This window comes from Homo sapiens, chromosome 8 (genome assembly GCF_000001405.40).
Source record: "Homo sapiens chromosome 8, GRCh38.p14 Primary Assembly".
Classification (NCBI taxonomy): Eukaryota; Metazoa; Chordata; class Mammalia; order Primates; family Hominidae; genus Homo; species Homo sapiens.
The window spans coordinates 134,219,497-134,233,141 of NC_000008.11; the positions used below are offsets into that span (position 1 = coordinate 134,219,497).

Sequence of the window (13,645 nt, forward strand, 5' to 3'; positions counted from 1 at the left end):
CCTAGATGAAATGGACAAACTCCTGGAAACATACAATCCTCCTAGCTTGAATCAAATGGAAACCTAGATGAAATGGACAAACTCCTGGAAACATACAATCCTCCTAGCTTGAATCAGGAAGAAATAGAAATCCTGAACAGACCAATAACAAGTAGTGAGATTGAATCAGTAATAAAAAACAAATTGCCAAGAAGAAAAACCCAGGGTCAGACAGACTCACAACCAAATTCTAACAGACATTCAAAGAAGAACTGATACCAATCCTACTGAAATGATTCTAAAAGATTAAGAAAAAGGGAATCCTCCCTAATTCATCCTATTAAACCAGTATCACCCTAATATCAAAGCCAAGAAAAAATGTAACAGAAAAAGAGGACTACAGACCACCAGGTGCAGTGGCTCACACCTGTAATCCCAACATTTTGGGAGGCCAAGGTGGGTAGATCACTTGAGCTCAGGAGTCCAAGACCAGCCTGGGCCACATAGGGAGACCCCATCTCTACCAAAAATGTTTTTAAATTAGCCAGGTTTGGTGGCATGCGTTGTAGTTCCAGCTACTTGGGAGACTGAGGTAGGAGGATTGCTTGAGCCTGAGAGGCAGAAGTTGCAGTGAACCAAGATCACACCACTCCGCTCCAACCTGGGTGACACAGTAAGACCCTGTCTCAAAAAAAAAAAACAGAAAAAAGAAAACTACAGACCAATATCTCTGATGAACACAGATACAAAAATCATCAACAAAGTACTAACTAAATACAACTGCACATCAAAAAGATAATTCAACATGATCAAGTGGGTTTAATTCCAAGGATGCAGGGATAGTTTAACATATATGCAAGTCATATATTATTCATATGTTAGGCATATGTGATTTACCACATAAACAGAATTAAAAACAAAAATCTTAAGATCATCTCAATAGATGCAGAAAAATCATTTGATAAAATCCAGCATACCTTTGTGATAAAACCCTCAATAAACTAGGCATAAAATGAACATACCTCAAAATAATAACAGCCATATTTGATAAACCCACAGCCAACATTATACTTAATGGGGAAAAGTTGAAAGCATTCCCCCTAAAAATTGGAACAAGACAAGGATGTCCACTTTCACCATTTAGATTCGACATAGTACTGGAAGTCCTAGCTAGAGCAATCAGGCAAAAGAAAGAAATAAAGGGCATCCAAATAAATAGGAAAAGAGAAAGTCAAACTGTCTCTGTTTGCCAGTGATATGATTATGTACCTAGAAAACCCTAAAGACTCCTCCAAAAGACTCCTACATTTGATAAATGAATTCAGTAAAGCCTCTGGTTACAAAATCGATGTACACAAATTGGTAGCACTGCTATACACAAACAGTGACCAAGCTGAGAATCAAATCAAGTACAATGGCTACAAAAAAATACATACATACATACATAAGATATCTAGGAATATACTTAATCAAGGAGGTGAAATATCTCTACAAGAACTACAAAACACTACTGAAATAAAACATAGATGACACAAATGGAAAAATATCCCATGCTTGTTGATTGGATGAATCAATATTGTGAAAATGACCATATTGCCCAAAGTGATCTGTAGATTCAGTGCAATTCCTATCAAAATACCAACGTGATTTTTCACAAAATTAGAAAAAAGCAGTCTTAAAGTTCATATGGAACCAAAAAAAGGGCCTAAATAGCCAAAGCAATCTAAGTAAAAAGAAGAAATCTAGAGGCATCACATCACCCTACTTCAAGTTATATTATAAGACTATAGTAACCAAAACAGCATGGTATTGGTATAAAAGTAGATACAGAGACCAACTGCACAGAATACAGAAAGCAGAAATAAAGTCAAATACTTAGAACCAACTGATTTTCGACAAAGCATACAAAAACATAAATTGGGGAGGGGACACCCTATCTAATAAATGGTCCTGGGAAAACTGGATAGCCGCATGCAGAAGAATAAATCTAGATCCCTACCTTTCACCGTATACAAAAATCAACTCAAGATGGATTAAAGACTTAAATCTAAGACCTGAAACTATAAAAATTCTAAAATAAAACCTAGGAAAAACTCGTCTGTATTTTGGCCTAGGCAAAGAATTTAAACTAAAAAGCTCTACACAGCAGAAGAAATAAACAGACAACCCATAGTATGGGAGAAAATATTTGCAAACTATGCATCCAACAAAGGACTAATTTCCAGAATCTTCAAGGAATTCAAATGAATCAGCAAGAAAAAAATAAATAATTCCATCAAAAAGTGGGCAAATGACAGGGATAGACACTTCTCAAAAGAACATATACAAATGGCCAACAAACATATGCAAAAATGCTCAATATCACTAATCATCAGGGAAGTATTAATTAACACCACACTGAGATACCACATCACCCCCTACAGAATGACCATTATTAAAAAGTCAGAAAACAATAGATGTTGGCATGGATGTGTTGAAAAGGGAACACTTAAGTACTGCTGGTGGGAATTTAAATTAGTACAACCTTTACGGAAAACAGTTTGGAGATTTCTCAAGGAACTAAAAGTAGATCTAACCTTTCGATCCAGCAATCCCACTACTGGGTATCTACCCAAAGAAAAAGAAGTCGTTATATCAAAAAGGCACTTGCACACATATGTTTATTATAGCACAATTCACAACTGCAAAGATTTGGAAGCAACCTAACTGCCCATCCAATGATGAGTAGATAAAGATCATACACACACACACACACACACACACACACACACACACACACCATGGGATACTACTCAGCCATTAAAAAAAAAAAATGAAATAATGTCTTTTGTAGCAACTTGGATGGAACTGGAGTTATTATTATACATGAAGTAACTGAGGAATGGGAAACCAAAAACCATATCTTCTCACTTATAAGTGGGAGCTAAGTTATGGGTATGGAAATGCATATGAAGCGGTATAATGGACACTGGACAGAAGAGGGGAGGGTGGGAGGGGGTGAGGGATAAAAACCTACAGATTGGGTATAAGGTACGTACCTGGTGATGAATGCACTAAAATCTCAGACTTCACCGCTACATAATTCATCCATGTAACCAAAAAGTACTTGGACACCAAACATTAAAATTTAAAACAATTCAAGAAAAAAAGAGAGAACTTGGTCACTACACCCATGAGACTGTGGCAGAAACCAGAAATATGAAACAGAACTCTACCAAACCCATCCCACATTGTTTTATTGAAACTATTGTTAATAGTAATTTGTAAAATAAAAAATCCAGGACAAATGATGAATTAGATATTTGAAATGTTATTTGAAATGTTGAGACAACAGACATAATCCATGAAAGACTCAGGAAATTAAAGGATTAGTACTCAAGCTCCATTACCCCTAGTCAAAACAAGCGTGTGTGTGTTTGTGTATATACGTTTTTTACATTTTATATTTAAGCCTCTAACAATTAATGGACTGCCGTGTTCCAATTTTGAGGCAGTATGTATGAGTGAAAGAGTACTGCAGTAGGAGAAAGGTTATCTGATGCTAGTTCCAACTATTTACAAGCTGTATGACTTGGGACAACTTCCTAAATCTTTCTGAGCTTCAGTGTTCTTACAAAGAAACATATTTAAAAAAAGACTCATAATATGTGTGAAATATGCATGAAAAAAGACAATGTGTTTAAAGGAGGCTTTCACCTTCAGGGAAGCTTTGATGGAGCAGAAGAGATCTTGCTTTTCCAGCTCAACATGTATTCCCAGTCTCATCTCCCATCACCAACTCTGTGCATTTCCTATCCTTCGATAAAGGACACGTATTTGTCTTCAAACATCATCTACTCTTTCACAAATTCAGGATGAAACACAGCTTCTCTTCTAGGTTGGGATGCCTTTATTCCCTATTGTTCACTGGAGGGAAGAGAATATTTCTCTCCTGTTCCTTATGGGTAGAAAGAACCTCCAACTCAATCTTTTCCAGCTATTACAGGACTTAATCTAATTGGACAATATTGGAGATGTTTACTAGGCTGTGTTCACTAGGAGGCATAATCATTGAAGACAGGCCTACTCATGCATTCTCTCTCTCACAATTTCTACATAAATGTGGTAAGCAGACCTTGGCAGGCCCTAGTATCTCAGGGCAGACGGCTGCCTTCTTTCCTCCCTCTTCCAGCTTTCATGTGGTTAGGTAGATAATTAAACCCAAGAGTCCACTTGAATATGATCAGTCTCTCATTCTCCACAAATAACCAAAGCATGCCAAGAATCAAATCTGGTGGTAAGGGCAGTGAGGATGGAGAAGAGGGCAGAATGAGAAGCACTGGCATTGCTTTGAGCCTTAGTTTCATGCTCTAACTCAACCTTTAGGAGCAAGCTCCATGTTAAGGTATTGCACACTGGGTAGCTCTTAACAAAACAGTTATATTCTTGTTCCTTGTATGTTCCTCTCTCAGAGATGCAAAGGAAACTACTGGGATGATTGACAGAGTGGGATGATTGACAGGGTGGGATTCAGTCTCTCCTGGGCCCTGTGTCTATAACACCATCACCCTTTACCTCCAGTGTGACCCTTCCAGCCTGCACTCAAATGCCAATCCAATGAACCCTCACTCAACCCCTATTCAGAATTCCCTGCTCCCAGCTAGCCTCCCACAGCACTTTGCTCACACCTCCAGTACAGCCTACATTTTATTCCCCAATGTTCCACTGATTTGTGCATGTCTGCCTCCCCTTTCATACTTGAAATTCTCCAAAACATTTCTATTCCATATACATCCTCCTCAGCTCCCACAGCTATGTCTGGGAAACAATAAGTCCTCAATAATTGTGTTGAAGGAGTATTAATTTAACATTACTTAAATGTTATCTGCATTTATTCTCCACAGGGGAATTCATATCTGCCATCTTCATAGTTTATCTCTTGAGAGAAAGCTGAAAGAAAAGGCCCCTGAAAGCCTCTCAGAATTACTGAGCTAACTTAGAAACCCCTGAAATCACTGTAGCATTTCTTTTCCATTTTCCCTGAGAAACTTTCTTAACTTCTTCTGTGGGCTTTATTCAGGCTTTTAAAGTTTATGTGCTTCTACTAGTGCCAAATATCTTTCTAGAAGTTTCATAATATCAAATTCCCCTGCCTGGTAAACAGTCTTCAAAGCATTTGCAGTTGCAGTTCCCATTGAGCTGAGTGGCCAAAAGTTCGTGTGTTAACTCTAGCTTGCCTGGGACCTGTGGCTGACTAAGCACATTAATTTGGGGCCTCTGCTTTCCCCCTACCTGCTGCAGTTTGAGGTTTTTTCGCTTATTGTCAAGGAACAGCTACCTGCTCAGACCGGTGTCAGCACTGTTTCCAAGACTTTACATGCAATAAAACACAGCCACCCTCTGAAGTAAGAGCTGTTAACTATCCACATATGGCTGACAGGGAAACTGATGCCTTGACTTTTTTCACGGCTCCTCCAAGGCCACACAGCTGCAAATGGCAGGAGGAGGTTCCAATTATAAAGCCCCACTGCGTCTCAATCAGGAGAACACGGACTCTAGGGTCAAACAAAATGGGTCCTGTCTGCGTAACCTTTATAATCATGAATGTTGCAAACTCAGGCATGCAAGAAATGTAACCTTAATATTTTTATCACTTTAACTTTTAATGGGAGCATAATTTATATTCAATTAAATACTCAGATCTTAAGTGTACAGTTTGATAAGTTTTGATCAATACTGGCACCCATGTAATGTACACCCCCCTCAAGATATAGAACATATTTATCATGCCCAGAAAGTTACTTGAACCCCATCCCAGCCAGTTCCCACCCCTCCAGGAAATTATTTTGTTTTCTGTCATCAGAGGTTAATTAATTTGTTATTTTTAACTTGACCTAATTTCTTCAAACTCCCATTCCATGTAGTATCAGAAACTTCATCTCAGCCCATCATCAGGGCTCTTCCCACTCTGTTTACCTGGGGTTCTCTATAACATTTAGATCAGGTTGGGATACATGGCTCGCATTTTGTGAGATGGTGGGAGGTGTTCTCAGTTGCTGCCTATACATCTGATCTCTGCAGAACGATCCCTGCCCTGCCTGGTTCTTAGCTACTGGCCCACGAAGGATGCTGCTCTATTTCCTTATCTCCAGCATCAAGGCCTCTTGAGCCTGGACCCTTTCTCAGCTACACCCATGCCTCTTTGAGTACAAAAGACCATTTGCAGCCCTACGGCCACAGTTCTACCCCACACCACTGAGTGGAGGATACCCTGAGGCCCTCGAAGTCCCTCTCTTCCTAGACCCACCACAAAGCCACACCTTCTCTGACATATTGTCACCTCTCCAGGCACAACTGGGAAAAGTCACCTCTTTCCTTGGATCTCACAAAGCAAAGAGGGTTTATCCACCATCCTTCTTGCTTGGTCTATGCAGAGTAGAGCAGTATAGAGCAAAAGGCTCCTTTTTTCCAAGGGAGCCCCAATGCTTACTCTCTTCTTCCCTTTAATATCCTCCCTAACTAACTCCTGAGAAATCTTTTGGAGTCTCAAGATTAGACACATCAGACATCTCAGTGTATTTTTGCTGTTCCTCCAGAATCACCCCTTCTCTGAGGTAAGAGATAGGCAAGGTGTCCCTGTAGCAAGGAGGAAGAATTTCAGTGTAGCAGAAAATCCAAAGGAAAGAACCACATAAGTTAACAGATTGAAATATCATCCCAGTGCAGAGAAAAAGAGTGGTGTAATAAGAACATATGGCTGTTGCATTAGTGAGCTGATTCCTGCAAAACATTGATGTAGTTAGCACTTAACATATTGGCATTATTATTATATCTAGATATGGAGAGTGTTATCAGGTTGAACTTGAACCAAAAATCTTTACTTTTTGCTATCTGGGTGTTGTCTACAGGTGGGACTGCCATGAGCTGACAATGGCACCTGGAAGGATAGTATGAAACACTGGACTGACAGGAAGTTTGGAAAGCCCTGAGTAGCTGAGATGGAGGAAGTGAGTGAAGGTAGTGGCAAAGAAATGTGAAGTATGGCTTGGGTCATTGCCGACAGTTGCAGTTACAGCCAGTGAAAATAGAGGAACATACAAGCATACAAGTTAAGCAGGCAAGCGTTAGTTATATACCTAGTTCCCTGGACCCAGAGTTGCACCAGAATCTTTTTGAAAACTGAGCAGCTAATGTATTTCCAACTTCATGGTCATATCTCTCCATGCCGTATAATATGCTATTAAATTAAGTTTAGCCCAAAGCTACCTCTTTACATATTTTAAGTTTGGCCTAAAGATTTCTCTGTACCTAGTGAACTGTAGCCTAACTGGATGTGTAAACAGACTGTAACCTACTTTTGTACCAGTCATTGAGTTTTGGCCAATCAACGGCAGCCAACTCTTCAAACCAGGTTCAAATAAAATAAACATTCAGCTGTAACCAATCTGGCTGTTTCTGTACCTTATTTCTATTTTCTGTATGCCATTTTCCTTTTTCTGCCCATATATCTTCAATCACACAGTAGCACTGGAACCTCTCTGAACCTATTCTGGTTTGGGGGCTGCCTGATTCACAAATCATTCTTTGCTCAGTTAAACTCTGTTAAATTTAGTGTGTCTAAGGTTTTAACAATGCTATGGTGGAAGAACCCAAGCCAGGCAGCTCTGGGTGTGAGCTCAGCAGCCCAGCATGGTTGATTAGCTCTAGAGTCAGACTCCCTGGCTCTGCCACAGAAGAGTTATATAACCTGGGCAATTTACTTAGCTGCTCTTTCCCTCCAATTCTTACTCAACAAAATGGGGAAAATGGTTAGGGGTACAAAGAAGATGCCTTTCTCTTCATCTCTGGTTTCCAAGAAAGAGATTGTCCCTAAACACTCCTGGCTACTTGGCCCCATCATCTCCCCCAGTCAGAGATGGATTGAGTTACCTCATTGGTGAATGGCAGCTGTTGATACACATTTCTTGTATGTGGGTGGAGCTTATTTATCAAAGTCCAAAGCACAGAAGTTTCTCTCTTTGGACCCTACCTCACCTGGATAAGTGAAAGGGCATCATCATGCATATGTCTGCTCTGTAGACCTCAATATCCATTGAATGGGCTTTTCCAAGGTCAAATTTGCATACAAGAGCATTAGAAAGTACAACATTACCACTTGTCTAAGCCTTGTTCTCTAATTCGGTTTTCATCAATATCTTAGCTGATCCATTTACTTCTGTCTGCCTCTCTGCTTTATATACTCATTGGTCCCCTCAAACTCCAGCAATAATGATGTCTCCCATATACAATCTTGGGGATGATGACTGAGATAATAAAGGTGTAAAGTGTCTGGAACATATTACATGCTCAATAAATGTTTGCTATTGCAATTATTAATGGATACTTCACTTCTACAAGTCACATAAACTCCTATTCTCTAAGCTTTCTTGTTTTAAAAAGTCATTAATAATTGTATGGCTTAAGTAAGAAAATGCATATAGGTTACTTGGCACGTGGGTTGGCACTCAATAAACAGTGCCTCTCCCCAATTCCAGTTGAAATGTGTTAGAAGAGCATTTTGACTCTGTTCCATGGCACACCAACAAACAATAAAATAATGTTTTACAAATCCTACTACTAAAGAATGGGTTTCCCAAATTGTATATAACATGTGTTCCCATGCAAGATCATTGATGTGCTATATAACCCTCCCTTAAGGCCCTTACCAAATGTTCTCTCCTCCAAAAAGATTTTTGCAGATTACCCAAAGTCCTATAGAACCTGTCTGCTCCTATCTTACCCCATATATAAGAGAGATTTGTTTGAATATTTACCCCAGAAATGGCATGAGATTTGAAGACAGATGATCCAGCCTTCCAAACTGGACCTGTCACTTACAGAATATGTCATTTAATGCCTCAGTTGGTTTATATATAAAATGGGTGTTGATAATGAGATGCATCTGATAGCATTGCACTGAGAAGTAAGCAAGAGAATACTCATGAAAGTGCTTCAAAAACAGGAATGCACTATAAAAAGGTCTCTGCATGTAAGAATATTATGGTAAGCGTTAATGAGAAGTACCACCTTGTTTGTAGGCACACTAGTTAAAAAGAACCCAAATCTCAAGGGAATTGATGTCATCTGTGTCTGTTGTGAAATACACAATGAACTGTCTTCTGACGGAGTCAATTTACAAAACATCAGAAGTTTTAAGTGCTTCCATTTATGGATTTTGTGGCTCTTGGGATATTGTTGCTATTATTATTATTATTATTATTATTATTATTATTATTATCATTATCATCATCATCATCATCAACTCCTACCAGACTCACATATTATGCTAGAGCAGAGGGAAGGTAGACACTCTTTAGAACATAAACTGACAGAAGCTGCTTTTTTCCTCCAAGGTAGTGGCATAATTCAAGAGAATATAAGGCACAATTATTTATGAATCATCTTGATGTGTCCTTTTGTAGGAGAAAAGTGAGGCCCCTGGGCTGAGCCCAGATGAGAAAGGGGAGGCAAAGAGAGAGAGGACTTGCTCAAAATCCTAAGGGGAAATAAATTTTGAATTACAAAGGGGCAAAAGCAGAGAAAAAGAGTTTGGAGCCTCATAAATTAAGAAATGGAGGGAAATGAATGGCATTTGGGAGAGAGAAGAAGAGAAAAAATGAGAAAGAGACAAAGAAAAGTGGAGAGTGTGATAGAATGAGAGACCCAAACGACATGGCAGGGAGGGGTGGAATCTACCTTTTGGATTGGAAGACAGTGATTCCCATCACTCCTGTGCAAAAACGAAGTGAGAGGGGAGCATAGATTTGGAATCCCCCAAACACTCCCAACTCCAGGATCTCAGAAATCTTGTGGAAGGGACATACTACATGGGGACTCAGATAATTGTATTTAAATCTTAAAAATATTCCCAGAAGATAACATAAGCCCCTGGGAGGTGGATTCCTGAGCTACACTGTATTGATTTCCGTTACTTTTCAAACATGAAATAGGAAGCACAGAAATCACCAGATGCAACCACCTCAATCTGGCAATGAAGAAATGGAGGAAGACCCAGAGGCACTGGGCAACCTGGTTTCCAGGGCAACCTGGCAACCAATTCATTACTGCTGGCTTACTGAACCAGGTACATTTGATAAGGAACAGTAACAAGGTTTTCTTTCTTTGTGTTTTGTTGTTTTTACTGTTTTGGCACTACCTCAATCTGTTCTGTTGCATCTCCCTGGTCTTCCCCTTAACAGCATCTCAAGCAGATACTAAAGATGTTTAGCCATTTTCACCTATAAGAACAGTTCCATGTTCAGGTATCAGAAAATATAATCTTGCTATATCAACCCTTTCATCTCAGTGTCCTTTGGAAGCTCCCCCTCTCCTATTTCTCAGCTCTGGAACCAGCGGGGAGCAGGGGTGGGGGGCATGACTGGTTCCACCTCCTTCCTTGCTCCATATCTCCCTCCACTACACCTGCTCCTTTGGACTCCTCCAGTGTCCAGACAAGAGAAGAGTGAAAGATAAGAGAAAATATACAAAAGGTGTTTTTACTTAGCTTAAGTATTTGAAGCCCTCTCTGGACTATCAAATGCCTTGTGATGGCAGGCATGCAAGGCTAGCTCTTTCCTGTGGGGGTCTTTGTGGGGCTTTGAACATCCTCAGCCCACACCACAGAGCAAGTTCCCCAGGCACTGAGTCAACTCCTACTTAGGGTTCCTCATCATCAGCTTAGACTATGGGACCACACCTCCCTCCTCTCTTTGGCACGTGTGCATACACACACACACACACACACACACTCACAGAAGTAAAACAATTGCCATGTCCTGTGTTTCTCATAATTGTCTTCAAAGATGCCTTTGCAATGGCTCTCCAGCCTTTTCTGCAAAGCAGGGTTGATGTTCACTGGATCTGCATGGACATTCATGGTGAAACTGTGGAGACAAGTCTCAGACTGCATGGGGCACCTGTCATCCATGGTGATCTTGGCCAATTTGCCTCTCAGTCTCCTAGTTTCTTTGTTGATGAAATGGGCATGATAATAATAGTACCCATCACAGAGGGTGTTTTAAGGATTAAGTGAGGAAATATATTCAAAGCTCTAACAGCAGTTTCTCATCCATAATTATAAATATTGGCTATTATTTTTCTTATTGTCCCCAGCTATGGATCCTCAGCCAAAACTCTGAAGCAGCAGGAAATAACCCATTAAATACCATGTTTCATTCAGATGTCCCCCAGTTCAATCACATCATCTTCCAATGAGGAAACAGAGACCCAGAGGCACTGGGAAACAAATCCAACCCTGACTGGTGTTTCCCCTTCTCAGTGTCCACAACATTCATTACCCAAAATATATACTCTGGAAAATGATTGCATTTGGTGTAGCATTTGATTATAGAGTGTCTAATCCTTTTCTCTACAATAGCATGATGAATAAGAGTTTTCCTATTTCCTAAGAATTAAAGCTTAGAGTCAAGAACAAGGAAGCACTAATTACCCCCACATTCTAAGGAGGGCTGTAAGCAATTAGGCCTGGACTTCTCTCCCAGGGATTACTAAGAAATATAAGAATCTTCCCTATAAGAGCCTTCAAACATCCCACCCCTTCTTATCATGGTATAAGAGAGAGGAAAAATGAAAGGGCAAGAATAATTGGCCTTGCAGATGCAGTTACTAGATAAAATACAAGGCACACAGTTAAATTTAAATTTCAGATCAACAGGAATAACTTTTCTTACTATAAGTATGTTCCAAATACTGCATAGGACATAATTATACTAAAAACTTATTACTTGATTATTGGAAATTTCCATTCACCTGGTTGTCCTATATTTTTATTTGCTAAATCTGGCAACCTTAGTAGGAAGAGCAGTGTTTGTGATAAGAGTGAACTCTGTCCCCTCTGAGATGGCCAGAATAACACTGAGCACCCCTCAGAGGACACCACCTGCACTCCTCAGAGGCCACTATCTTTGAGAAAATTGCCAAGAACAGGTCAAACCACACCAAACCGAGAGTAACAAGGAATGTCTCTTCACTGTTATCACATGGTCAGTTGCAAAATAGAGTCCCTGCCTTCTCTAGCTCCAGAGAAGCTGGACTAAGATAAGGAGGAGAAAGGAGATGTGTGTGTGTCTCATTTGGGGACAAAGCAGATTATGATCATCTCACCCCGCCCCCCTCTCTCTCAACTCCAAAATGGAGGAGAAATGACAGTGCAGATCTCATGATCACACATCTCTTCCCATTTCAGGTCACTCAACACGAAGTTTAAAAATATACTTCGGATTAAAGCTTTAACCTAGAGCACACTTTTAATAATTAAAAAGAGAATGTATTAGTCGGTTCCCACACTGCTAATAAAGACATACCCAAGACTGGGTAATTTATAAAGGAAAGAAGTTTAATTGACTCACAGTTCCACATGGCTGGGGAGGCCTCATAATTATGGCAGAAGACAAAGGAGAAGAAAAGGCTCAATTTACATGGTGGCAGGCAAGAGAGCATGTGTGTGTGAACTGCCTTTATAAAACCATCAGATCTCATGGGACTTATTCATTACCATGAGAGCAGTATGGGGGAAACTGCCCCCATGATTCAATTATCTCCACCTGGCCCTACCCTTGACTTGAGGGGATTATTACAATTCAAGGTGAGATTTGGGTGGTGACACAGCCAAACCATATCAAGGACAGAACTTCTGCTTTCAGAAAGATGAAGTAGATGTATTCTATCCTATTCTTCCCTAAGTACAAACAGAAATCCTGGATATGGCAGATATAAAAAAAAGAAGACTAAAAAGTGGAGAGAGGAAGGCCGACAAGCTAGTAGCCTCGGGACCTGAGAACGATGCCATGATGAGTTCTCTATTTCGTGCTCGTTTGGTTGGTTGGTTAGTTTTTCCTCTTATATCTCAGACTGTATACTGGAGAAGCCAGCAACTCAGAAATACCACTGACTCAGGCAAAAAGAAAAAAAAAAGCCACAAGGAAAGCTTGCTCTTTCTAGCCAAATGATCAAAAAATGGGCAGCCTGGCAAGGTAGAAGGCTTTTAGACAATAATTTCTCCACTCTAGCCAAACACCACTTTTCTGGTAACCCCACCAGCAAAGAAAGGTAAAGTGGAGAACATAGACCTCACCGTTGCTGGGCTATAACAAGATGCCCAACTCCCTTGTTGGGGTACATTCAGAGATGGTTGAGTCAGGAATCAAGCCTTTCATCACTACTCAGCAATAAGGAGGCCTCTCTCCATTCTCCCTCACCTTCTCTCTCCTCCTCTGAGGTATCAGTGGGGTCCACATGGGGAGGCTGGACTTCCATCCCCACTAGATAACAAGAAGCTTCTCCCCCTGTCTACCATCATGGTGTCAGAGAAGACCTCATGAGATGGGAGAACTTTAATACTACTCATGGGTGCTGAGGCAAGCACTCCACTGACAGAGTCAGGAGGGGCCATGTGGGGAGTGGTAAGAAAGTTCCCTGATGGGAGACAGAACTCCCACACCTACCCAGCAGTTACAAAGAGCACTTTCCACCCACAAATGTCAATGGAGTCTGAACGGAGAAGTTGTAATTCAACCCCACCTGGAAGTAATTAGGTGGCTCCACACTTAACCCATCAGACTAGTTTCAGGATGTGCCTGCTAAAATAGAAGCAATAAATAACATCCGTATAAGAGTCATAACATAATAC

The 13,645-nt window shown here is 40.4% G+C and overlaps 1 annotated feature.

Moving 5' to 3' along the window:
• Window positions 11,950–12,244: an enhancer, noted in NCBI's record as "tiled region #13712; K562 Activating DNase matched - State 24:Quies, and HepG2 Activating non-DNase unmatched - State 24:Quies". NCBI's record gives its function as "activates a minimal TATA promoter and a strong SV40 promoter by Sharpr-MPRA in K562 cells, with weak activation in HepG2 cells {active_cell/tissue: HepG2 | K562}" and the evidence as "EXISTENCE:reporter gene assay evidence [ECO:0000049][PMID:27701403]".